General features: G+C 46.4%; 1 long non-coding RNA gene and 1 pseudogene across 2 annotated transcripts, besides 2 other annotated features; one reads left to right on the forward strand and one right to left on the reverse strand.

Moving 5' to 3' along the window:
- On the forward strand, positions 4,207 to 7,273 carry NANOGNBP1 (NANOGNB pseudogene 1; annotated as a pseudogene).
- Positions 10,255 to 10,755: an enhancer, noted in NCBI's record as "H3K4me1 hESC enhancer chr2:101280388-101280888 (GRCh37/hg19 assembly coordinates)". NCBI's record gives its function as "activates a minimal SCP1, AML or CMV promoter by ChIP-STARR-seq in primed H9 embryonic stem cells {active_cell/tissue: H9 hESC(primed)}" and the evidence as "EXISTENCE:reporter gene assay evidence [ECO:0000049][PMID:30033119]".
- Positions 10,756 to 11,256: an enhancer, noted in NCBI's record as "H3K4me1 hESC enhancer chr2:101280889-101281389 (GRCh37/hg19 assembly coordinates)". NCBI's record gives its function as "activates a minimal SCP1, AML or CMV promoter by ChIP-STARR-seq in primed H9 embryonic stem cells {active_cell/tissue: H9 hESC(primed)}" and the evidence as "EXISTENCE:reporter gene assay evidence [ECO:0000049][PMID:30033119]".
- On the reverse strand, positions 14,361 to 26,292 carry LINC01868 (long intergenic non-protein coding RNA 1868). Of its 2 annotated transcripts, XR_001739611.1 has the most exons (3): positions 23,807 to 26,292; positions 22,086 to 23,199; positions 14,361 to 16,500 (listed from the first exon to the last, which is right to left on the reverse strand). It is a non-coding gene; the product is annotated as a long intergenic non-protein coding RNA 1868 (long non-coding RNA). The 2 variants fall into 2 exon arrangements; XR_001739610.1 differs by lacking the exon at positions 14,361 to 16,500 and having other exon boundaries at positions 19,879 to 23,199.
- Between the last annotated feature and the right edge of the window lie 666 nt (positions 26,293 to 26,958).

The raw sequence follows: 26,958 nt of genomic DNA on the forward strand, positions 1-26,958 counted from the left end.
GCTATGTGCTAAGCACAGTAGAAAGCTCACATTACAAAGAAAGATGCAGTCCCTTTCTTCACGGAAACCACTTTCTCTTGTGGGAGGGAGATCCACAAAGAGAACATTTCAGTCTGTGAGCTGGGTGCTATGAGCATGCTACGGGCAGGGCCCCACGCAAGCCCAGACTGCATGTTCAGGGACCTGCACCAGGGCCCTCCTACCTGCCTGTGGTGAGATCTCCCCTCGCACAGACACCAGGAAGCAGTCATACCTGTCATTTCAAATCATGTATCTTAGTTTGGGTTGCTATAACAGAATACCACAGTGGCTTATAAACAACAGAAATTTATTTCTCACAGTTCTGGAGGCTGGATGTCCAAGATCAGGGTGGCAGATGGTTGGGTTCTGGTGGGGGCCCTCTTCTGGGTTGCAGACTGACAGCTTCTCTCTCTCTCTGTCTGGTTTTTTTTTTTTTTTTTTTTTTTTTGAGAGGGAGTTTTGCTCTTGTTGCCCTGGCTGCAGTGCAATGGTGCGATCTCGGCTCACCGCAACCTTCGCCTCCCAGGTTTGAGCAATTCTCCTGCCTCAGCCTCCTGAGTAGCTGGGATTACAGAGATGCGCCACGACGCCCGGCTAATTTTGTATTTTTAGTAGAGACAGAGTTTCACCATGTTGGTCAGGCTGATCTCGAACTCCCGACCTCAGGTGATCCACCCACCTTGGCCTCCCAAAGTGCTGGGATTACAGGGGTGAGCCACCGTGCCTGGCCCCCCCTTTTTTTTTTATATTTGAGAGGGAGTCTTGCTCTGTCGCCCAGGCTGGAGTGCAGTGGCACCAGCTCAGCTCACTGCAACCTCTGCCTCCTGGGTTCAAGCGATTCTCCTGCCTCAGCCTCCAGAGTAGCTGGGATTACAGGCACATGCCACCATGCCTGGCTAATTTTTGTATTTTTAGTAGAGACGAGGTTTCACCATGTTGGCCAGGCTGGTCTTGAACTCCCGACCTCAGGTGATCTGCCCATCTCGGCCTCTCAAAGTGCTGGGATTACAGGTGTGAGCCACCGCATCCAGCCACAGCTTCTTTGTGCCTTTACATGATGCAAAGAGAGCAAGAGAGTGCTCTGCAGTCTCTTTGCTAAGGGCACTAATCCTATTCATGAGGGCTCCATCCTCATGACCTAATTGCCTCCCAAAGCCCCACCTCCGAACACCATCACCTTGGGGGTGAGGATTTCCACACAGGAATTTGCGGGGGAGGGCACACACATTCAGACCGTAACACCATGAGATTGAGGAAACAAATACTTTTTAGTGCTCACATCTTCAGGAAATAACTTGGCACAGCCTACTCAGGGACACCTTTTGCCCACAGAAATCCAGCAAAGGAAATTGTTCAAAAGCTCATTACACACAAGCACCTACTGCATCCCTGGGCACCCTTTCCTCATCCATCTCTTCTTCTCTCTACCTGCAAACTGTCTGTCTGGGCTAGTTTGGGCTAATTACTGAGCAATAAAATGTCTGATTTTTATATAGTGGCTCTGTTCAGAGCTGCCAAAAACATTAAAAGTAGGGCCAGGGTAGGAGAGAAAAACATATTTTTTCATAATTTTACCTAGAAGATTCATTTGAGAGGGAGAAATAGGCTCACTGCCCTAACGAGAGAGTTGGATAAAAACAAATTCCTCATTAATTTTAAATATGTCAACTGGAGAAGGAGATTAAAGTGAGGACGACTGATGAATGGTGCTTCTGGGAACAGACGAAAGCACACCGAGGAAAGGGGATGGGGTCCCCAGTAGGCCCTCAACAGAAACAGAGCTACCCTCACTAGCTCTGCAGGGACAGCAGCTCTGGAGGGTGCCCCTTGGAATAGGGGCACCATGCACTGGACACCCCCTCCCACGGCAGGGGCTGGCACTGCCCACTCAGCTGGCAAGACTATAGAGTGATGAGGACTTGGCTCTGATGAAGCTGGAGCTGGAGATGAAATACTGCGGGCTCTTGGCATCCTCCTAAGTGGCCTGGCAAGGTGTAGATAACAATAAGGGAGCATCCCCACTCAGTGTTTACTTTCAGCTGTCTCTAGTAGGCAAGTTGCAAATGTTCGCCTTTATTAACGCACGTGTTTTCTCATTACTCTGTGAAGCAGATGGGTCTATGGTGTCTTCAGGAAAGAAATGCTGGCTGGTTTCTTAGAGCAGCTTCGAATTCCAGCCCCTGGTACCGTGCTCAGATTGCTGTGCAACTTAGAGGGGGCCCGTTGGCTCCTGCCAAAGTGGCAAGAGTTGAGTGTTGAGGGAGTGGTTGGTAGGACAGGTGGCCAACATCAAAGGAAAGCTGAGCTACTATTCAGAGCTGCTGTCTATCCAGGCTCTTTGTGGGATGCCCTCCGATTTACCTGTGGGTTCTCGTGGGAGCCCATGCAGGTGTGTTTTCTGTGTGCTCAGCCTCCCTTGTAGAACCAGTCCTCCCTACTCTTGGTCCAGATAATTCAGGTCAAGGGTGGGCACGTGACCAGGATCAGGCCACTTACAATTGTATGTATTTCTGGGTATGTGACTCAAGCCAGAAAAGTCAGAATCAATTTAGGACCTTTCTGGAGATATTGGAAGAGGGACTCTTTTTATGGTTTGCTAAGTTGGTGGAATGTAAAATATCTTTGCCATTGTTTGGGGAAAGCCTGCCTAGAAATAGAAACAATGTGAAAGAAAGCAGGGCTAAAATTGAGAGGTGGAATCCCAGTTACATGGTTTTAGTACTTGGGTCAAGCTGTGCCTGAAACCCATAAACTTTCCGTTACCTGAGCCAATGCCACCTTTTTGCCTTAATCCAGCTTGGGTTTAGTTTCTATAGTTTACAACCAAAAGACCTCCGTTTCATACTCTAGGTATATAAACTGGGACATGTTCTATTTCTGAGACTCAGTTTTCTCACAGGTAAAATAGAGATAATATGCTCCATCTACAGCTATTGAAGACAGCCAGTCACAGGACCAAGAATATGATCTTTCCTTGGCCATATTAACCATTTTGGTCCTAGGTTTCTCTTGCAAAATGGGCTAACAAGACTGCTTGACCTCCCAGGAATGGAAGCAGTTGGGATAATGGATGTGGAAAGGAATCTGTACACTTATATGCAATTTTTTTTTCTGGGGGTAACCACATTAAAAAAAAACTTTTTATTTTTGAGATGATTGTGGATCCACATGCAGTGATAAGAAGCAACACGGACGGGCACCATGGTTCACGCCTGTAATCCCAGCACTTCGGAGGCCAAGGCAGGTGGATCATGAGGTCAGGAGCTGGAGACCACCCTAGCCAACATGGTGAAACTCCGTTTCTACTAAAAATACAAAAATTAGCCAGATGTGGTGGCACGCACCTGTAATCCCAGCTACTCAGGAGGCCGAGGCAGGAGAATCATTTGAACCCGGGAGGGGAAGGTTGCAGTGAGCCGAAATCACGCCACTGCACTCCAGCCTGGGTGAGCGAGCGAGACTCTATCTCGAAAAAAAAAGAAAAAAAAAAAAAAGAAGCAACACACCCTTCACCCGGTTTCCCCAGTAGTAACATCTTGCATTACTATAGTATAATAGCAGAATTAGGAAACTGGCATTGATGCAGTACATTGACCTTCGAATTTCACCACTTTTACATGCATGCAGCTGTGTGTGTGTGTGTGTGTGTGTGTGTGTGTGTGTGTATACTTAGTTCTATGCAATGTGAGTTCGTATGACCACCACCACAGTCAGAATATAGAATACAAGGATCCCTTATGTTATCCTGTTTTAGCCATGGTCTCCTCCTCCCCTCTCATCTTGCCAAACCCCTGACAGCCGCAAATCTGTTCTCCAGCTCTGCAATTTTATTATTTCAAAAATATTGTATACACAGAATCGTATGATAGGTAGCTTTTTTAGATTGGCTCTTTTCACTCAGCATAACTCCACTGAGATCCATCCGACTTGCTGCATGTATCAGTAGCTTCTCCCTTTTATTGATGAATGGTGTTTCATGGTATGGACATAGCACAGTGTAATAGATTATTAAAAGGCATTTTGATTGTCTCCAGCTTTTCTGGCTATAACAAATTAAGTTGCTATGAACATTGTGTATAAATTTTTGTAAAAACACAAGATTTTGAAATGAAAATTTCTCTGGGATAAAGGCCCAAGGGTGTAATTGCTAGATAAGTCCACTTTTAGTTTTAAAAGAAACTGATAACCAGGCATAGTGGCTCATGCCTGTAATCCCAGCACTTTGGGAGGCTGAGACGGGCAGATCGCTTGAGCCCGGGAGTTCAAGACCATCCTGGGCAACATGGCAAAATCCTGTCCCGACCCAAACAAAATACAAAAATTAGCTGGGCATGTTAACACACACCTGTAGTCCCAGCTACGTGGGGGGCTGAGGCAGAAGGATTGCTTGAGCCCAGGAGGTTGAGGTTGCAGTGAGCCATGATGGTGCCACTGCATTCCAGTCTGGGGGACAGAGTGAGAATCTGTCTCAAAAACACCAAACTAAAACGAAACAAAAACCGAAAAACTGACAAACTATTTTTCAGAATGGCTGTACTATTTTTCATTTCCACCAGCAGTGTATAAGTGGTCTGATTTTTCTGCATCCTCAGCAGCATTTGGTGTTATCACTATATTTTATTTTAGCCATTCTGGTAGGTGTGTGATGCTATCTCGTTGTACTTTTAATTGGTATTTTTCTAATGGCAAATGATGTTGAATATCTTTTCACAGGCTTGTTTCCCATCTGCACATCCTCTTCAGTGAAATGTCTGTTACACGTTTTTTTCCCATTTTTTAATTGGATTGTTGAGTTTTGAGAATTGTTATGTATTCTAGATACAAGTCCTTTGTCTAATATGTGATTTTCAAATAATTTTTCCCAATCTGTAGCTTGTCTTTTTGTCCTCTTAACATACGCTTTTACAAGAAAAGCTTTTAATTTTGATAAGATTCAATTTATCAATTTCTTCTCTTTTTCTGAGACAGGGTCTCATTCTGTTGTCCAGGCTGCAGTGGCACGATCATGACTCACTGCAGCTTTGACCTCCCAGGCTCAAGCAATCCTGCCACCTCACCCTCCTGAGTAGATGGGACTATAAGCACATGCCACCATGACTAGCTAATTTTTAAAAAATATATTTTTAGTAGAGAAGAGGTCTCTCTATGTTGCCCAGGCTGGTTTCAAACTGCTAAGCTCAAGCGATCCTCCTGCCTCAGCCTCCCAAAGTGCAGGGATTACAGGCATGAGCCACTACAGCTGGCGTCTCCCTAAGTATTTAGGTCTTCTTTGGTTTCTTTCATCAGCACTTTGTAATTTCAGCATAAGGATGCTGTGTATGTTTTGTTTGATTTGTTTGATAACTATTTCCCTTTCTTTGGGCAATTATTAATTGTGTTGCATTTTTAATTTTGGTTTCTACTTGTTCATTGTCAGTATATAGGAATGCAACTGATGTTTGTGTATTGATCTCGTATCCTGTGATCTTACTGAACTCAATTATTAGTCCTATGAGGTTTTTGTTTTGTTTTGTTTTGCAGATTCCTTGGGATTTCAATCATATTGTCTGCAAATAAAGACACTTCTATCTTCTCCTTTTTTACTCTAAATGACTTTTATTTCTTTTTTTCCCTTATTGCAATGACTAAAACTTCCAGTACATTGTTGAATAAGAGTGGTGAGAGCAGTCATCCTTATCTTGTTCCCATCTTAGAAGGAGAGCATTCAATCTTTCACCATTGAGTATAATGTTAGCTTTAGGTTTTTGCAGATGATCTTTATGAGATCAAGCAAGTTCCCCTTTATTCCTAATGTACTGAGTGCCTTTAATCATTGATGGGTGTTGAAGTTGTCAAATGTTTTTCTATGTCAATGGATATGATCATATTTTTCTTCTTTGGCCTGTTGATATGGTGAATCACATTGAGCTAGCTGTACATATGTGGAATAAATGCCATGTGGTCACAGGATTTATACATTGTTAGATTCAATTGGCTAAAATTTTGTTCAGAATTTTTGCCCATATTTTAATTGGAATTTCTTTTACTGCTGAGTTTTGTGAGATTCATATATTCTAGATACAAGTTCTCTGTTAGATATATAGGTTGCAAATATTTTCTCCCAGTCTATAGCATGTATTTTCATCCTCCTTACAGGTCTTTTGCAGAGCAGAAGTTTTAAATTTAGGTAAGGTCAAATATATCAATCTGCTATGAACTGAATTGTGTCCTTCAAAAATTCCTATGTTGAAGCTCTAACTCCCAATGAGACTCAGTGTGACTCTGTTTCGGCCTGAGAGAAGGTGATAAAAGTTAAATGAGGTCATAAGGGTAGGGCCTTAATTCCATAGGGTTGGTGCTCTTACAAGAAGAAGAGAGACAGGGGAAAGAGGAGCAACAAAGAAAGCTTTGAAAGAGCAGCCATTGACTTTGAGGAAGCTCAGGAAAGGATGGTGTCCAGGAAGTGGGAGAAGAAACTTTTTCAATATGGAGAGAGATCCTGATACTTCAGAAGCCCCTGATAATTCAAATCTTTTTATACAGAAACAACGAGCTATGCCTTGGGATCAAAATCCAGAACAATCGAATGGAAATTGCAGTGAAGATGAACAAAAGGGAAAGCAGAAATGGAGAGAAGGAGGAGGAGAACCAGGCGGAAAGAGAAAGTGAGAAAAAGAAGAGGAAAATGAAAAGGAGCTGGAAGATGAACAGGAAAAAAAAGAGGAAAACGGAAATGAGAAACAGAAACAGTATCCCAAGAAAAGATTAGTCAGGAAATACCTGATGGACAATCTCTGGGCAAAGTTTAAGTTAAACAGGTGCCCCACAATACAAGAGAGTCTATCACTCTCATTTGAATTTGGCATGACACATAAACAGATAAATCAAAGGTTTTGTAAAAAGAGGAAGAAATATAACAAATAAATGTCCAAGAGAAAGAGTAAGAAAACACATATGAGATGGGGTCTCTCTGTATTGCCAAGGCTGGTCTCGAACTCCTGCCCTCAAGCGATCTTCCCACCTTGGCTTCCAGAAATGCTGTGAATCCAAGCATGAGCCATCGCACCTGGCTAAGACATTTTATATGACACCATTCTCACCAATAAATGGAGTTCTGAAAGGATAAACAAGAAAATATTAACAATCATTAATTCCGTGGAGTAGAACTAAATGAGGGGCATGCAAAGGAGGTTTTATACATTTTATTTTGACCCTATTGTAGATTTAAAGTTTTTATAATGGATGTTAAAATTGATTTTATTTAAGAAAAAAATCAATAAAAAAAAAATACAGACTAGAGCTCTCTCTCTCACACACAAGGACACTGTGAGAAAGCAGCTGTCTACCAGCCAGGAAGGCAGCCCTCACCAGAAGCTGAACCTTATCAGACCTTGATCTTGGACTTCCAGCCTACAGAACTGTGAGAAAATACGTTGCTGTTGCTTAAGCCGCCTAGTCTATGGTATTTTGTTATGGCAGCCTAAGCAGGCTAATATATCATCTTTCCTTTTGTGGGTCATGATTTTGGTGTCAAATCTAAGGACTCTTTGCCTAGTCTGCATTTTAATTCAAGTGTGTTTTCAAGTCATAAGGAAATCAACCTGTAATTATGGAATTTCAGGCTAGTAGCAAGGACATTCGGCATCAGAAAAGGACCTCTTTGAACCGTTCGTTATCCTACACCCGGCTCAGTCTCCTGAGCTGGCTCCTTGTGAGTAACCTCAAGAAGTAAGATCTGTGTAGAGATCACGAGGAGAGGCGTGTGATGCTCGCCTGTCGGTACAAAAGCTCAAAAGAAGAGTAAGCGGGTCCAATAAATTGCAACTGTTCCTACGGGAAATTATTGTCTTCCAAGTTTAAGATTCCTTTCCACATCCATTATCCCAACTGAGCTCTAATCCTCTGAGGTGAAGCAACTTTGATAGCCCTTTTCACAGAGGAGTGGACTGGGGCTTCCACAGGATCACATGGAAACCGGAAGTGATTTTCAGCTAAGAACTATCCTCAGGGATTGGCTGCTGCTTTTTAGGAGTAATAAAAAGAAACTTCTCTGCTGGGCGCGGTGGCTCACGCCTGTGATCCCAGCACTTTGGGAGGCCGAGGCGGGCGGATCACGAGGTCAGGAGATGAGACTATCCTGGCTAACACGGTGAAACCCCATCTCTACTAAAAATACAAAAAATTAGCCGGGCGTGGTGGCGGGCGCCTGTAGTCCCAGCTACTTGGGAGGCTGAGGCGGGAGAATGGCGTGAACGCGGGAGGCGGAGCTCGCAGTGAGCCGAGATCGTGCCACTGCACTCCAGCCTGGGCGACAAAGCGAGACTCCATCTCAAAAAAAAAAAAAAAGAAAAGAAAAGAAAAGAAAGAAAGAAACCTCTCCAGCTAGCTAGAGGCCCAAAGGGCTCTTTAGTGGACATATATTGAGATACCTCCTGAGTCCCAAAGTGGGAGATCTCCTGGGCCTCACAGGCGTGGGACCCTGTCCTTACACGTCTCTCTCTGCTTTTCTCTACACCTTTGCTCCATTCACTAGGCCTCTCACACGGATGCATCCTGGTTTCCCTAGAGTAGAGCTCCTGCAACACAGTGCCCAGTTCCTTGGAAAGGGAGCGTGATTGGCCCAGCCTGAGCCATGATTAGGTGAGGAAGGACATTGTCTAAGTACAGTTTAAGTCACTTGAGGCCTTCCTGCATGGGAGTGGAACTGGATGAGCTGTGTCGACCTGAGCTGTTTGGAAAGAGATTGAACTGAACTGAACAAAATTGAATAATCCTGCAATACTGGTACTTCTATCCCTCATCTTACAGATGTAGAAACAGAAGCTCATGGAGTTAACTAAATTGCCCATCTAGGTCCAAATTAGTTCAGCAGGAAGTTCCTCATCAGAACAAATTAATAAAGTCAGGCTGTTCTCTTCATAGCCAGGATGACCCTAAGCTGGTCCTAAAGTTGGTCCCTGATTGATTTCAGGGAAGAATTTCTTATATGGAATTGAATGTGTTAAGGATAATGGCTTAAGTTCAGCCTATGGCATTTGGGTCAGTGGATTTCCAATGACACTCATGCAAAGAGCTTCTGAGTTTTGGTAGAAAGAAAGAGCATAAAATGTTAGGGAGCGTTTTTCAGGAATATTTTGGAGTACAAATGATCAAAACTAAACTCAAACTGCTTTAAGGAAATATACTGAGAAGTCCCAGAGTGCAGGTAGCTTCAGGCGTGATGGAAAGTAGAGATTCAAACAATGCTATCAAAGCTGTCACTCCACCTCTCAGCTCTTTCGTCTACACTGTCTTCACTATCCAGCAGGCTCACGCCACAGGGTAGCAAAGGCAGCCACTGGTGGCTCTAGGCTTACACTGTCCTCAGGGCTACTGCACCCCATGAAACAGAAAGCGCGTCTATTCCCAAAGCTTAAACAGAAGCCCCAAGGTGTGATCTGATTGGCCCAGCTTGGGTCTGTGCCCATCCTGACCCGATCATTGCACTGGACAGGGGAAGCAGAGATAACCTAATGATCAGGCTGAGGACGCCAAACTACATGAATGGTTTCCTCATAAGGACAGGAACCTGTATATTTCTATTCCTAAATTGTATAAAAAGAGCCTGGGAGGAGATTGCAGAAAAAACAGAGTAGGGCAGTGGTCACTGTGTGCTTTTTTTTGCCGTATGAGTTACCCAGAGGTAACTTTGGGTGGCGTGTCATGGTGCCTTATTCACAGTCTCTGCCCAGCTCCTGCCAGGCTGCGGGTTCTTCATCACTTCCTATTGCTGTGTATGATGGTGCCATGATGGGAAGGCAGGCCCTCCATTTACCCTGGCCTTCAGGAGTTGGCTAGCTCAAGTGGCCAAGGTTGAGAAAAGATGCAAAGGAATTAAACCCTAAGATCCTTCTTTAAAAACAGCAATCAATGAAATCACTCCAGGTGAAGGTTCTAGAACCTAGATCAGTGGTTTGCCTGGCTTTCGGATTGTAAGGACCCTAACGTTCACTGCTCTTGCCTCCAAACTGGAGAACCAGCAAAGGGCTGACAATTTTTTTAATGTCATATAAGGGCGTTAAAGGAAAAAAAACCCTGAACCCCATCAGCTACCATTACTCTCATGACCATCTCCTTTCCTAAAGTTAGCAGGACATCATCTCATCAAGGGCAGCCCTTTAAATGAAATCCATGTACATTTTGAAAAACAAAGCACATTGCTCCTTCTCGGTGCTCATTCCAGGGGGGACCTGTGAGAGCAGCACCCAGGCCAGCGTGGAAGTCCGTCCCTGTCCATCTTGTCACCATCACCCGGTGACCTCAGATGTCCTAGAAGCGATGCCTCAGCCCCAGTGGGGCAGGGCCACCCCGTTTCAGCACCTGCTTCACCCAGAGCTTTCCTCTGGGAATGTTTCCCAGATTTTCCATCTCCTTCAGGCTGCCTCTGTGAATCCTACAATAGCAGCCCAATTTCCCCCGCCTGCCCTCACCCCGAAGCCGGGAAAGAGGCTAACCTGACATACATAACAATATGCTAAGGAGCAAGGAGACACAGAAGGGCAGGGCTTGGTGAAGAAGGTTCTGCGGGGGTCTAAGGAGCCTGGCTGGGTGGCTTTGCTGTGGGTGCTCTATTAGTGGCGCCATGTCAGGGCGCGCCACCTACGGCACCACGCAGGGCGCCCCATCTGTGCTACTCCTGGAGCTCTCCATTCCCCCTCCCATCTTCCATGTGCGGGGTGGCCCTGTTTCTTTTTCTCTATCCATCCGCACACGATCCAACAGGGGGCCGGCAGTACCCTCAAAGCAGAGTTGAGGGTAGAGGGTCACACAAGGCTGAGCGCTCCCAGGGAGAAGCTAGGAAGACACCTTCAGGGTGAAAACCCCCAAACAAGGGTGCTGCACAGATTGTCTCCCTCCACGCAACACCTGTCAGCAGTGACAGTGAGGAGAGGAGCGGGGGCTGCCTGAGATGTGGCCGGGGAGGGGGCGGCCTCTTTGTTTTGTTGACCCCATTCAGAAAGAACGTGCGCCAAGAGGGAGGCCTCCACGGCCTTGCTTCCCTGCTGCCCAGCCCGGGTGGTTCCTTTAGTGGGTCAACTTGGCCAGGCCACAGCACCCAGACATTTGGTTCACCACCATTGAGATGTTGCAGTGAAGGTATATTTTAGATGAGATTAACATTAAAATCTGTAGATGTTGAGTAAGGCAGATGATTCTCCATAATGTGGGTGGGCCTCATCTAATCAGTTGAAGGCCTTGGGAAAAAGACTAACGTTCCCCAAGAAAGAGGAAATTCTGTCTCCAGACTGCCTCCAAGTCGAGCTGCAATGCCAGCTCTTCCCTGAGTCTCCAGCTGCTGCCCTGCCTGGCAGATGTGGGATTTGCCCCACAATCACATAAGCCAATTCTTTAGATTAAAACCTCTGTGTGTTTCTCTCTCTCTCTCTCTGTGTCCTAGTTTACACACACACACACACTCACACCCTGCTGGTCCTGTTTTACTGGGAGTCCCTTTCCAGACCACCTAAATCACAATCCCCATAGGTAGAGCCAGGTATTTAGCATGCTGGTAAAGCACATCAGGTGGCTCTAATGCGAAACTAGGGTTAGGAAGATTGGGGCTAACACTGTGGTTCTCACCTGCTTGGGCTAATGCAGAATTCTATGCAGAATCACCTGGAAGTGAATTGCTAAAGATGGCTGATCCCCACCCACCTCCAGGCTTTCTGAGTTGATAGGTCCAGAGTGGGGCCTGAAAATGTGTATTTCTGACATGTTTCCAGGTGATGCTGATAGTGCTGGTCTGGGGACCACACTTTGAGAACCACTCAGCTAAAGGATTATGTTGATAACGAGGGTTTACTTGTTATGTCAGGAGATGACAGCCACATCCTCTGCCTGGTAGCCAGTGGTCATAGCAGTAACAGCAGTACCAAATGGCAATCAACACCCAACAATCACTGAGTTCTGTGCCTGGCACACAAGTGTGACTCTTACAAGTTCAGTCTCATTTTATTTTGATGACCACCCTCTGAGGTGGTTTTAAGATTTCCATGTCATACATGAGGAAACCAGGACGGAGAACTAGGGAAGTTGCCCAGCTCACTAAGTGGGCTAATCAGGCCTGTCTGACTCCGAAATCCACAAACTCAACCATCTTACAAATAAGAGACCAAGGCTCAGATGCTCTGTGGTTACTCAGGGTCACCCAGCACCTAAAAGTGGAGTTGGGACCTGGCTCATTAGCCAGTCATCCTTCCATTCTGCATCATTTCCCATCTCACATGAACTAATAGGTCAAGGTTGGGCATAGATGTGGTTAATTACAGATGGTGATAGAGTCGTGTGCCACATAACAAGGTTTTGGTCAACGATGGGCTGCATACACAACAGTGATTCCGTAAGATAATGGAGATGGAAAATTCCTATAGGCTAGTCACATCATAGCCACCATAACACACCAGTGCAATATGCGTTTGCAGGGATGCTGGGTAAACAAACCCACTGTGTGGCCAGTTGTATAAAAGTCTAGCACATACACTTACACACAGTATATAATACTTGATAAAGATAATAAATGACTATTACTGATTTATGTATTGGCTATATTACACTATTTATCATTATTTTAGAGGGTACCTCTACTTATGAAAAAAAATGTTACTATAAAAGAGCCTCGGGAAAGTCCATTAGGAGGTTTTCCAGAAGGCACTGCTATCATAGGAGATGACAGTTCCATGCGTGCCCCTGAAGACGTTTCAGTGGGACAAGATGTGGAGGTGATACTGAGGACCCTGACCCTGTGTAGGCCTAGGTTAATGGATGTGTTTGTGTCCTAGCTTTTAGCAAAATAACTTAAAAGGTATAAAGAAAAAAGTTTTCAAAATAGAAAAATGTTTATAGAATAAGGATAGAAAACATTTTTGTACAGCTGTACAATGTGTTTGTGGGGTTTTTGTTTTGTTTTGTTTTTGTTTTTTGAGACAGAGTCTCGCTCTGTTGCCCAGGCTGGAGTGCAGTGGCATGATCTCCACTAACTGCAAGCTCCACCTCCTGGGTTCATGCCATTCTCCTGCCTCAGCCTCCCAAGTAGCTGGGACTACAGGCACCCGCCACCATGCCCGGCTAATTTTTTGTATTTTTAGTAGAGATGGGGTTGCACCGTGTTAGCCAGGATGGTCTCGATCTCCTGACCTCGTGATCCGCCCGCCTCGGCCTCCCAAAGTGCTGGGATTACAGGCGTGAGCCACCGCACCTGGCCATGTTTGTGTTTTAAGCTAAATGTTACTATAAAAGAGTCAAGAAGTTAAAAAAAATTAAAAATTTTATAAAGTAAAAAAGTTACAGTAAGCTAAGTTTAATTTATAATTCGAGAAAAATATTTTTAAATGTAGTGTAGCCTCTGTGTACAGTATTTATAAAGTCTATGGTAGTGTACACTGATGTCCTAGGGCTTCATATTCACTCACCACTCACTCACTGAGTCACCCAGAGCAACTTCCAGTCCTGCAAGCTCCATTTACGGTAAGTGCCCTATACAGGTGGACCATTTTTTATCTTCATTTTTTTTTTTTTGAGATGGAGTCTTGCTCTGTCACCCAGGCTGGAGTTCAGTGCTCACTGCAACCTCTGCCTCCTGGATTCAAGAGATTTTCCTGCCTCAGCCTCCCACGTAGCTGGAATTACAAGCATGCGCCACCATGCTCAGCTAATATTTTTGTATTTTTAGTAGAGATGGGGTTTCACCATGTTGGCCAGGCTGGTCTCGAACTCCTGACCTCAAGTGATCCGCTTGCCTCAGGCTCCCAAAGTGCTGGGATTACAGTGTGAGCCACCGTGCCTGGCCATTTTTTATCTTTTATACCATATTTTTGCTGTACTTTTTCTATGTTTAGCTATGTTTAAATACACAAATACTTACCATAGTGTTACAATTGCCTACGGTATTCAGCCCAGTAATATGCTGTGCAGGTTTGTAACCTAGGAGCAATAGACCATGCACATAGCCTAGGTGTGTTGTTGGCTGTCCAATCTAGGATTGTGCAAGTGTATGCTATGATGTTCACACAACGACGAAATCACCTAGCAATGCATTTCTTAGAACATATTCCCATCATTCAACAATGCAAGACTGTATCTAGTTCCTCATAATTAAAAAAAAAAAAATCAAAACTCAAGAAACATCAACGGCCTCTCCTGCCCATCCCCCTCCACTGTCTTGGTAAAGCAACAACCTACAGTAGCAACCCGAGGAGACGCCTTGAGCATGGTCCAGAGTGATGATGGCTGCCCAGAAGCCAGAGTCACCGCCTTGTGCACCCACCAAGGCGCACAGGCTGAGCGGCCAGAGCTTGAGTTCCTTTGTGGATTCAGATGCCAACTTGTGAGGATTCAGAGGGCCCACTCGACCCAGTTGCTGTTCTAACTCTGGACCACCTAGTGATCAGGACAGGCTGGCCTCTGTCTCTGGAAGTTTACCTTCTGGCAGAGGAGGAAGAAATAATGAAATAGTTGCAGGTGAAGATTTTGAAGGCTTTAATGGAGAAAATTACAAAGGTCAACGTCATGGTGATTGGCTTCAGAGTATAATTTAAATTGGGAGGTCAGGGAAGGTCTCTCTGAAGAGCTAAGAGCTGAGCTGAAATCTGAACCATGGGATGGAATCAGCCCTTTAAAGAACTGGAGAAGGAGCCCTGCAGCAGAGGGAACACCTGAGCAAACCCTTGAGGCAGGAGCACACTGTGTTTCCCAGCAGAGCTCTGGAAGCCGATGTGGCCGGTGCAAGTAGTTTGGGAAGAGGAGGGAGAATGGTCAATCCCAGATAAGAGGGCCTCATGGACACTGAGTCTGAATTGCATACTCGGGGTGACAGGAAGCAGTGAGCAGACACAGCTGGGAGTGATGAGGTTGGGGGACAGGATAGGCGTGCACTGTGGGGCCAAAGCCGAGCTTGCGCAGCAATGGATAGGTAACACAAGGGTTGCAGACCTGGGTCGGCGCAGGCCCCCCTGCAGAAGCACACCTGTCTCTTTGCAGACATGGGGCCAAGTCCCTCTCGCTTTTTTGTTCACAAACAGCATCTCCACATCTCCTAGGGAAGTGTCACTTCCTTTTTTGCAGTTTGTCACTCAGCGATTCTCTGATTTATGAACTTCCTAGCTCTGCATCCTGCCAAGGTGTAGATTTCAGCGGAAGCTTCTAATGAGGAAAGGAGGGGAATTGAGTCTGGTGACCTGTGCATCCAAGAGTACTCTCACCCAACACAACTCATCACTGATGAAGGAGCAGGCCCTCTCTGCCCATGCTCTGTGGTCCAGACACACCCCTGCTCCAGAGACAGAGACCAGCGGTTTACGACAGAGTCCAATTAATGTCGTGCCTCCACTTTTCCAAACTGAGGAGTGAGTTGGGAAAATTAGTTAATCTCTTTGAGTCTCAGCCTCCTCAATCACAGGATGGGTTGTTGAGAGGAGCAATTCAGTTAGTGCATGTGAGGAGGGGCGCAGAAGGAGCCCTTGGCAGAATTGTTATCCTTATGCCTTTTTGCTCAGCAGGGCAAGCTACAAGTTACGTATCAATTGTAGCCTTGGTTCTAAGAATTGTTATCCTTATGCCTTTTTGCTCAGCAGGGCAAGCTGCAAGTTACATATCAATTGTAGGCTTAGTTCTAATAGTATCTTCTATTATTTCTCCTTTCCCCAACTATCACTGACAGAAACATTTAATAAAGTAATTATCAGTAGTGTAATAAAAACTAACAGTTATCAAGCAGTGACTTCATCTTTCACTCTGTAAACTCTTTACACATTGAATGTCCACATTATATGATTGAACGTCCACAACAACCCTATTAATCCCATTTTATAGATGAGGACTCTGAATCCTGAAGACAGCAACTTGTCCAAGGTCCAGTGGTTAATGGGTGGCTTCTGTCTTAGGTCACCAGTTCTGTAACTTTGAGGACAATACTTCTTGGAGCCCTATGCTCTTTCTCCAAATTTTACAATGCTGTTGTATGCAATAATTAACTTCATGCATGCTCCAGCTGCAGGGAAGTATAAGATATTCCTAACCCTCACCTTGCAGAGCAGTTCAGGTTTCATTCCTTAAATACCCCTTTGCCTTGATCAATTCAGTGGCGATTAGGACACTTACATAAATCATAAACCCAACAGTTTCTGTCAGTGGGAGAGGCTGGAATCAGTGCTCTGTGAAGATAGGGTTCAGGGCTCTGCGGCTGGTTTACCTAAAACCCTCAAGCCTGGTTTTTCTCCCTGGGGCTCCTGAAGGCAACAGCTCTTCACCTTTTGGAGGATTAAGTGACCTTGTGGATCTTCTCCCCATAACAGTGCACAGACATGTGCAATTTCAGGGCTTACCGTGACCCTACAGCCTCAGTAATGCCCAAGTTGAGATGCCTTGTATTAGTCAGCGTTCCCCAGACAAACAGAAAGCCATGGTGCAATTCAGCTCATGCCCAAGGGTCTGAGAACCAGGGGAACCGATGGTGAGATTCCCAGTCTGAGAACAAGAGAAGATGAAATGAGATGTCCAAGATCAAGCAATGAGGCAGGGGGAAAAGGGGCCAATTCCTCCTTCCTCTGCTTTTTTGTTCTATTCAGGCCCTCAACAGATTGGATGATGCCCACCGACATTGAGGAGGGCAATCTGCTTTCTCAGTCCCTCAGTTCTAATGCCAGTCTCCCCAGAAACACCCTCACAGACACACCCGGAAGTAATGTTTAATCCATGCACCCCATGGTCAGTCAAGTGGACTTGTAAAATGAGCCACCAGAGGGCTTTCTAGGGAAGCACAGGGACATCGGCCCCTCTGCCCAGGGCTTAGGGAAGAGGGCTGCCCCAGGCCCCTGGAGGTAATGATCTATCCTTCGGTCGCTTTCCTAAGCAGAGGTGTTATTCAGTCTTTGCCAGAAGAACACTTTTCTTCCCTTTCAGCACAGTCATGATGCAGCCTCAATAGAGGCTTGCACCTCAGCAGCCTTCTGTCCTTTCTAGCTCCCCACGGGCTCTGGCCACACAGAGTATGTGCCCTCCCATATGCCCAGAATGAATTCCCCACCTCTCCACCCTCCTCCTGCATTGCACTATGAGGCAATGTCAGGGCCTGGCAACAGCTTTTTCTAGCACCCTGTCCCACAAACCCTCTGCCTGGTGTCCAAATACAACCCGGCAATGCTGTGTAAGGCTCAAACTCAGCCTTCTCGCCTGCACCTTTCTTCTCCTCCCTGACCCTGAGGATATCCTCTTTGGTACTCTGTGGGACTGTGTGTCTCGAAATCTCCATCGAGGAGCCAAGAACAACGGCAAACTCCGCAGGGTATGGGGATATAGGTCAAAGCAGGGCAGAACCTCAGAGTTTCTTTGAAGTCTTCTGGTTTCTATTTAGAAGTGATGCAATGTTTTGCATCTCATTCCGTGATATATACAAGTTTACTTAAACTATTTTTTTTTTTTTTTTGAGACAGAGTCTCACTCTTTGGCCCTGCTGGAGTGCAGTGGCACCATCTCGGCTCACTGCAACCTCCGCCTCCCAGGTTCAAGTGATTCTCCAGCCTCAGCCTCACGAGTAGCTGGGATTACAGGTGTGCCCCACCATGTCTGGCTAATTTTTGTATTTTTAGTAGAGACAGCGTTTTTGGCCAAGCTAGTCTCGAACTCCTGACCTCAGGTGATCTGCCTGCCTTGGCCTCCCAAAGTGGTGGGATTACAGGAGTGGGCCACTGGGCCTGGCCTCACTTAAACATTTTAAAAGTTTTCTATTGATTGCTCTCAGGTAGAATCAACGCTCTTGTGCCATGTCTTGCCTATAGCTTTGTCTGTTCCCACCCAGCACACTGACTCCCGCAGAGAACCACAATCCAGTTAGCAAGACCTGCTGCTTAGGGGTTATCATTCATTTGTTCATTTCTTCTGCACGTATTGGGCCTGCCATGTGGAGGATGGCACAGATGTTAAGCTCACGAGTTCAGAGTAAGGGCTAACTTGCATTCAAGTCTCTGCTCACTTACTAGCTGTGTGATTTTGGGCAAGTGGCTTGCCCTCTCTGAGTTTTAGTTGTATTACCTTTTAGTTTTTTTCTTTTTTTTTTTAAGAGAGAGGGTTCCACTCCTGTCACCTAGGCTGGAGTGCATTGGTGCTATCATGGCTCACTGCAGCCTCGGACTCCTGGGCTCAAGCCATCCTCCCACTTCAGCCTCCAGAATTGCTGGGACTACAGGTGCGTCACCACCACACCCGACTTATAGTTGCATTACCTATGGCTCGAGAGCTATAGGGGCATCTGTCACATGAGACCTGTGAGAATTAAATGAAATAATGCCTGTAGAGCTTCGGTACCTTTCAGGACAATGTTCCCTATAGGGCTTAATTGTGTTCGCCATGATGGCATAAGATGGCATCGTCTATAGAACTGTCCTTATGGAATTATTAACTGAAGAGTTAATCAAAAATATTAAGTAGGGAATTATAAACAATGATAAAGATATTAAAATTATTTCATGTAAAAAGCAAAAATGCACACTGATTTGCCTATCTTTTGATGTAGGGTCAAGGCCCTGGCTTATGCCTTGTCTTTCTGCGGGAACTTTATGTCTTCTTCCTTATACAAACTACAAGTGTATAAACAGGCTATGCTCTGCAGTTTTGATTCTAAAAATAGAGCAAAGGTTTAAAGGAATATACGATGCAAGAGTCCTATGAATATTCAATTTTTCTCCCAAACATGTAAACTTGTCCTGCCCACACCTATGTCAATGCCACTGATTTCTAGAGACTCATCTTTCTTGGGTCTTTTCAACAAAAAAGCTGTCATTTTCACATTCATGTTTCATTAATTTGTAAGTGCTGAGTTAAATTGTGTAAGTGTGATAGCACATACCTCTGGCAGAGTGGGTTTGGGAGGAATCCCTGTGACTCTGGGTGAAGAGCACCTCAACTGGTGGGGCCAGAAGGGAGTGGTCTAGAGAATCCCCCAACACATGAAACCCCAGGGCAAGAACACAAATGGAGGCCCACATGCCATGCTGCTGAACATTTGAAAATTACAAATCAAGCTAACTTGGCCAGGTGCGGTGGCTCATGCCTGTGGTCCCAGTGCTTTGGGAGGCTGAGGCGGGTGGATCACTTGAGGTCAGGAGTTCGAGACCTGCCTGGTCAACATGGTGAAACCCCGTCTCTACTAAAAATACAAAAATTAACCTGGCGTATGCCTGTAATCCCAGCTACTCGGGAGGCTGAGGCAGGAGACTCACTTGAACTCAAGAGGCAGAGGTTGCAGTGAGCCAAGATCCTGCCACTGCACTTCAGCCTGGGTGACAGAGTGAGGCTCTGTCTCAAAAATAAATAAATAAATAAATAAATAAATAAATAAATAAAATAAAAATAAATCAAGTTAACTCTAACAAAATATAGTCTGCCTTCCTCTCCCGACAAACCCAGAAGGCCAGATTTTAACATTGAATTCTTGGACTCCATAGGGCTCCGTGCTAGAACGAGGTAGTCAGAGATGGCCAGCTCTGAGGCTCCAGCCCAGGTGTACCTCATTCCTCTTCTCACCCCCATTTCTCACACACCAAGGGGACTGGCAAGTACTGTGGAAGCTCCATCTACGTCCCCTACAGACAGTTGCCCCTTGGCCATCCTCAAGAAGAAAACCCGTCCTGTGATGGAAGGGGCTTGGGGTCCTGTGGGCAGGGAATGCTGGGGTCCCAGGTGCACTAAGAATGGTCTAGGCCCGGATTGGCAAGTATTTCTACAAATGACCACATGATAAATATTTCAGGCTTTGCAGGCCATACGGTCTCTGTCGTAACTACACAAGTCTGCCGTTTTGTGGTGAAAACAGCATAGACGCTATGCAAACAAATGAACATGGCAATGTTCCAGGAAAACTTTACTTATGGACACCAAAATTTAAATTCCATGTAATTTTCACATATCATTCTTCCTTTGATGTTTTTACAACCATTTAAAAATATAAAAACCATTCTTAGCTTATGAGCTGAATGGAAACTAGTGGCCCAGGAGTCATTTGCAAACCCTGGTCTAGAAGGTGAGGCAAAAACTCTAGGTGGACACATCCCAGTGGGCCCTGGACCTCTTACCCTGTGGAGTGGGGAGTGGGGCCCTCAGGGGCACAGGGCTGAGGGAGGATCCCGTCTTGCCCAGGCATCAGGATGGTACTAAAACTGCCTGCCAGGCCAGAGCAGTCACGGTGTTCTGCAAAGGTTAATAAGGGGCGTTGATGAAGAGGAGCCTCTCCTGTCAACAGGAGCTATTTTGGTCGTGATTCTTGACCAGGCCCCTTCTGTAGCATCCTGGGCCAGCAGCTCGCCTTTCCTCTCTGACCTGCTATTGCCAATACTCCAGGCCTCCTAAGAGATGCAAAACATGCAAAGGGTCTCATTTGCTATGATACATAGAGCCAGGGCTCACAAAGTACTTGATTTCCAGAAAACCCACCCTGGGACCCACAGTGGAATGAATGGGCTTCTCACGGCAACCCCTCAGCCCCTCCCAGGGAACATCTCCAAACAGCAACCAGCCAGACCCGCCTTGAGGGCACTGGGCGCCATCGATGTCTCCCCTTCTGCTGGGGCCTTGCAACTGCTGGGCCAGCCAAGGGACAGAGCATTCCTTTGCGTTTCAGTTCAGCAGCTGGATTTAGGCTGTTGTCTCAGACATTGGTTGATGTGGTTGTGGGACGATCTATTTTCCGTTTGCTCGCTTACAAGCGATTTCTAAAGCTCTTGTGGAAATCATTGTTAGTCAACCCTATATTTAGCCTTAAGCTGAATCAATTTGATGGCTTCGAGGCAGAGAGAGAGGGGAGAAAAAAAGAGGGGGCTATTTTGATAAGAATGCACTTTTCCTCAATTTTCACTTTTAAAAATTGCAATGTATACTCTGGAGGTGGGTGTGATTTTTGATAACAGATGTAGTCAAAGAAAATTATTTTAAAACACATTTTATGTCTAACTGACCATGCGGTGATGAGCTGCTTCCCCCACGATTTCACTCAAATTACCATGGGAACAGTCTGAATCTTCAGAAAGGCGCTGCACAGAGAGCCGCATCTGGCAGACGGTAGCTTCTGTCCCGGCCCTGCGTTCCCTTGAAGAATGAGCTCATTCATTTGTTCTTCCAGGAGCTCCAGTGGCCCTCAAGACCCACCTCCTGTTTCTAAGCCTGAGGGTTCTGTCAGGGTCTTCGGATAGATTACAGGGGAGCAAGGCCATTGGGTGCAGCGTCCTTGGTTAGCAAGGCCAGCCCTGGCTGAGCTCAGTGGGGAAGGACATCATCTGATTCTGAGCCTTCCTTTCCTTCTGCATCCAAGAATTCAAGCGAGGCCTGCCTGGCAAATTTGTTCAAAATCGGCAAGCCTACAAGAATGGGAGCCCTGCCTCTTGCCCCGGCCCCCAGCTATTCTCTCTCCTCCCTCAAATCTTAATGCCAGATTGGTGCCCCTCCAGGAAGCATCCCAGAAGGTTACAGGGGTTGGAGGGCCAGCCTGCACCCCCAACTGCCATAACTAGGACTTCCCTGTCCAGGCTCCATATGCCATGTGGAGTCCTTCTGTCATTCAGGTTCTATGCTAAGCATTAGAGCACTTGTCCAGAGCCCAGCTATGTCCACTCATAGGAGAAAGTTTAAATTCACATTCTCAGACCTCACCCTCAGGTCAAAGAATGCAGAATGCATAGGGGTGGGGGACTGGGCTTCAGTCATTTTTAAGAGCTCCCTAGGAGATTCGAACATGTGGCCCAAGAAGGCAGCTACTGTGTTAGAGATGCAAAAACGAATGACTCTACTTAGAGTCCCTGCCCCACAAGCCCATACCCTGCTCCAAACCTAGTGGTCCCACCCTGCTGCCAGCTCAGTGAGCAGCATCTACACCCCACAAACCAGGTACCCCTGTGGGCCTCCAAGTGTGCACATCCACATGCCTCTCTAGATGGTCAGGCCCACGAAGGCAGAGGCTGCGTTTATGTTGCTCGCCTGGCACTGCTTCTGCCTTGTAGTAAGTCTTTTCTATAGGCACAAATCAGTGAATAAAAAGACACAGCCCTCATCCATGTGGAGCGTACCCAGGAATCTTGAAGCATTTTATCTTGGCCAGAGTCACGTGTAGGTTTCTAGATCCTCCAATCCAGCAGGTCAGTTGGTTGGAACAGTGTCTTCTCCCCACAACCCTTCCTGCAGGATTGATATTTGCAGGAGCTGGCTGAGCAGGGCTCTGCTCACTCTGGAGGGGCCCAGCCCTTGGTTGGAGTCTGTGATCACCACTGGCTGCTCCTTGGCTCAATACCCACCGGGAGGCCCTCGAGGGACCATGTCTTGGACCCCCAGAGAGTTGCCTGCACCTCTCTGCTGGTCTCAGAGCCACCGGGCATTTCCTCTGTCACCTATGATGTCACTATTATATTATCTATGATGTCCTCTCTTCCAATTAGATCCTCCTAAGACAGGGTTCTCAGCTCTGGCCACCCCTGGGAAGCTTTGACACATTTCACCGGCCAGGACACTACAGGCCATTTCTGTGAGAGTTTCTGGGAATGTAGCTTAGCTATCCATAGCTATTAAAGCTCCCCAAGTGATTGCATTGAGCTGCCAAAGCTGAGACCCACTGAGCTAGGATGAGGCCCATTGATGGGTATATTTTAAAAATTCGTCAGGTTGATTGAACAGACAGCTAAGGTTGTGAGCCTGGCCAGGAAGTGACAATTGGTATGTCCTGCTGGTTTCTAAGGTATAACAGCAACAAACATTGACTAAGCATGAACTTCCATGCTGGTCACTGTTCTGGGTGCTTTCTGTGCATTAGCTCATTACATTTTCACCATGCCCAGAGGAAGTAATAATAATAATAGCTAACATTTATTTCACACTGCATATGCCCCTGGCACTGTGCTAAGGGCTTCACCTACCTCAATTTATTTACAGATAAGGCAAACCGAGGCACAGAGAGGTTAAGTAACTTGCCGGAGGTCAAGAGTTGAGAGGTGGTATTAAGAGGAGACACTCACCCAGGTCATAGGCTCCAGAGCCCGAGGGCTCTTCCACTGCAGCCTGGGCGAAATATGGTGGCCAACAATCTGTATAGACGAAGGACTAAGAGAAGGCACCTCAGAGCTGACGGTAGGTCTGATGGATCTGCCTGCAGTGCGCTTCCTCAAGGAGGAGCATGTCCCTGGGTCAGAGCTGGGGTCAGGGGAGAAGAGTGGGCCCGGATGAGGGCTTGGGAGCGGCCCTAGCATGGGGAGACATCCTGGAGCCTCAATTCTAACACAGGAGGAGGCGCAGAAGAAGCATCCTATGGTGTGCATTTCCTCCCCACCTACTTTCTGAGTCCCTCTGATTTCTGTTCTGTGCTCTCTAGCACAAATCCACATACATATGCCACAAGCTATGAGCCCTCTGTACAAGGGGAATAAAGATCTGCTTTCCATTCTCCCCACCTGACAACTTGGAGATGGTGCAGGGTTAGGACAGAGAAGGGCTGTGTGGTTAGAACCTGCTCCTGGGTCGAGGGACGGCCGGGCTGGTCCTGTGCATCCCCGCTCAGGGCTGAGCATCATTCTGCCTTCCCACCATCCCTTCCCCTCCTACCAGAAACACCCCCTCGGACTTGACTTCAGAGACGATGCCACCCCTATTCGGGCCCTGAGGCTCAGGAGCACTCTCTACCCCACTCCCCGACTAGGGGAGTGAGCGTTCTGGGGGTAAGCAGGGTGTCTGAGTTGCTTGGGCTGCTATGTCAGAATCCATACATCGGACAGCTTAGAAACTACAGAAAGTGATTTCTCACAATTCCGGAGGCTGGGAAGCCTAAGGATCAAGATGTCAGCAGATTTGGTGTCTGGTGAGGGCCTGATTCCTGGTTCATAGACGGCTGTCCTTCCACTGTGTTCTCACATAGGGAAAAGAGTTCACTGCGGCCTCTTTTATAAGGGCACTGATCCCATTCATGAGTGCTCAACCCTCAACCCTTATGACACTGCCACCTTTCAAGAGTCCCCGCCCCTAAATACTCTTACATAGGGGGTGAAGTTTTGACATATACATTTGGACGGGGGCACAAACACTCAGACCACAGCACATGGTGTCTAAGCCAGGCCAGTGAGCTTCTGTTCTGGACCTTTGGTGGAACATTGAGAGAAGTCCTCTTCCTGCTGGGATAGCTGAGAATGTGAGATGTCAACTGGGAGTGCTGGGAGCCTTCTGGACCCTACGAGGTAAGGAAGGGCCCACCTGGGGACAGAGGGAGCGTGAAACAGAGCCAGGCCGAGTCCTGAGGACAGCATCTCAGCCTCTAGGTCCTGCTGGGTCGGAAGTACCGACATCTCTCAGTTATGGGAATCAGGAAACCACTCTTTTGCTGAGCCCGTGTGAGCTGAATTTCTGACACATAGAACTGAAAAGTTTCTGCCGTGGGGATTAACGCCAGAGTTGCTTCGTGCTGGGTATTTAACCTCTTGGAGCCTCAGTTTTCTCATCCATAAAATGAGAACAATATTATCCACCTCACACGGCTGCTGGAAGGATGAAATGTGATTCTTATATAAAGTGCTGGCAAATGGTAGGCCCACAATAAATGTGAGCTCCCTTCCCCCGGTTCCAAATTTAAAACTGAAATCTGGATCTAAGAGACACAACATGTGGCGAGAATTAAGAAAAAGATATAAAAGCATAGCAAGATGACCCTTGCCTCAGGTAACAGAATATAAGTAGGCACAAAAAGTTCACTCAGTAAGAACCAGAAAATTCAGACCCCAGTTAGAAAATTAGCAAGTATTTTGAGCTATCTTGAAACTCCCACGACTTAAATATATAAGTAGAATGCATTTACCCTATAAAGTTCACAAGTCTTTTAAACAGACTTCCGTGAACTTTGCCTGCAGTGTGGGAGATTGCAGAGGGGATGGTTGGAGAAGGGAGCGGAGGACAGAAGACCCCCCGTCTCCGGTCTTAGTTCAACTGATTTCATTTCGGTCCTTTTCATTCAGGGTCTTTATCAGCTAGTGTTCATGTTGTTTTATTGTTCTCGTTCCTATTTTAGTAATTTTTCTCCATCCAATAGCATTTTCCTTTCTATCTCTCTGGAGATCTACACAGATCTGAGGACAGAATTGATCAACTCTGGTTAATAAAATACCAATCTTGAATGCAATATTTTGAGTCAGGAAAACTTTGAACTGGCCCTAACTGAAGATTTATGTTCCAGTCATCTATGAAGGAAATTGCAAAGCAAATCAATGAAGACCTAAAATGTTGCTTCAGTTGTAGTTGTCCTAGATCAGCGATCAATCACACCATCAATTGTCAGTGATTTATTGAGCACTTATTTATCCCATCACTATCCTGGGAGATGCAATGAAACAAAGGTGGTATAAGGTGCTTAAAATCTAGATGGGAAGGAAGATGAATTGTCACAAAATAGAAAACATATCAGTACTTAAAGTAGAAGTTAATGTAGCCAATTGCCGTATGCAAAGATTCATGGAAGAGGAAAGTCGATACTCAAACTGGTCCTTAAAGAGTGTACACAAATTGGAAAAGCCCAGAGAAAAATGAATGGGTATCAGGAGTTGGATATGAGAAGCCGAAGCCTGAGGTCTGCAGAAACCTGGAATATGTGGCGGCCAGTGGGGAGTCCATCCTGACCATGATGAATGAATCAGTCATGAGAAAGAGTGAACCAGGCCAGCCATGGCCTGCCCCCGATGGTGTCCTGTGACGGCCTGTAATGGGAGGCCTAGGGCAGCTGGGCTCCGCTGGTGCAACAGCTCAGCCGTCCCATCGAGAGCCGCAGGTCCGGTCATCTTCCATCCCATCATCTGCCAGCATGGTGGCTTCTAATCCACAGATTTGTCACCTCAGGCCACAGGACGGCCAGTGCAGCTCCAGAAACAACCACTCAACCACATCCAATTGCAGGAAGCAAGGGAGTGGCAGATGCTAAGACAGGAAATAGGTGTCTCTCTTTTGATTGAGGGGGTATCAGAACCCCCCCTTACCAGAAGGCCTCCCCTCATTGGCCAGAAATGGGGGCCCTGCCCACCCCTACCTGCAAAGAAGGCTGAAAAAGTGTGTATCTGGCATTTTTAGCCTTAACTGTGGGAATTCACACTCTGTCAGTAGGAAGAAAAGGATTGGAGCTGGGGAAGACTATTGGATAGGCCAACCAGAGCATCTGCTCAGAGGGTTCAGGGGGAAATAAGCAGGGTTTGAAGAGGGAGTCAGGTCTTGCAATGCCTTGAAAGCCAGACTAGATGTTCAGCAGTAGGACAGTCACTCTCAAACTCAGTTTATAATATAAGAATATACTCATGCCTGTAATCCCAGCACTTTGGGAGGCCGAGGCGGGCAGATCACGAGGTCAGGAGTTCAAGACCAGCCTGGCTGACATGGTGAAAACCCTTCTCTACTAAAAATACAAAAATTAGCTGGGCATGGTGGTACATGCCAGCTACTCGGGAAGCTGAGGCAGGAGAATTGCTTGAACCAGGACCTAGGAGGCAGAGGTTGCAGTGAGCCAAAATCGCACCACTGTACTCCAGCCTGGGCTACAGAGCAAGACTCTGTCAAAAAACAAAACAAAACAAAACAAAACAAAACAAAACAAAACAAAACAAAAATGAATATAGGGATCATCTGAGAAAGTTGATTAAAATGCACATGCTTGGGCCCTTGCCACAAAGATTCTGATTCAGTAGGGAAGGAGTGGGGTCTGGGTATCTACCTGCTTAAGTAGCACCCAGGTGACTCTGAAGCAGGTGGCCTGGCAATGTCACTGTGACAGTTGCTGCACTAAGGAGGCATTGCAAGGTCTCCATCATGAAGAATCCAGAAGCCAGTGGACGACAAGAGGCAACCCTAACTAGAGGCAGAGGAAGCCAACCAGAGGCTCCTGCAGCTGTCCAGGTGAGATGTGCTGAGGCCCAAAGTAGGGTGACCACA

This window comes from Homo sapiens, chromosome 2 (genome assembly GCF_000001405.40).
Source record: "Homo sapiens chromosome 2, GRCh38.p14 Primary Assembly".
In the NCBI taxonomy this organism is placed as follows: domain Eukaryota; kingdom Metazoa; phylum Chordata; class Mammalia; order Primates; family Hominidae; genus Homo; species Homo sapiens.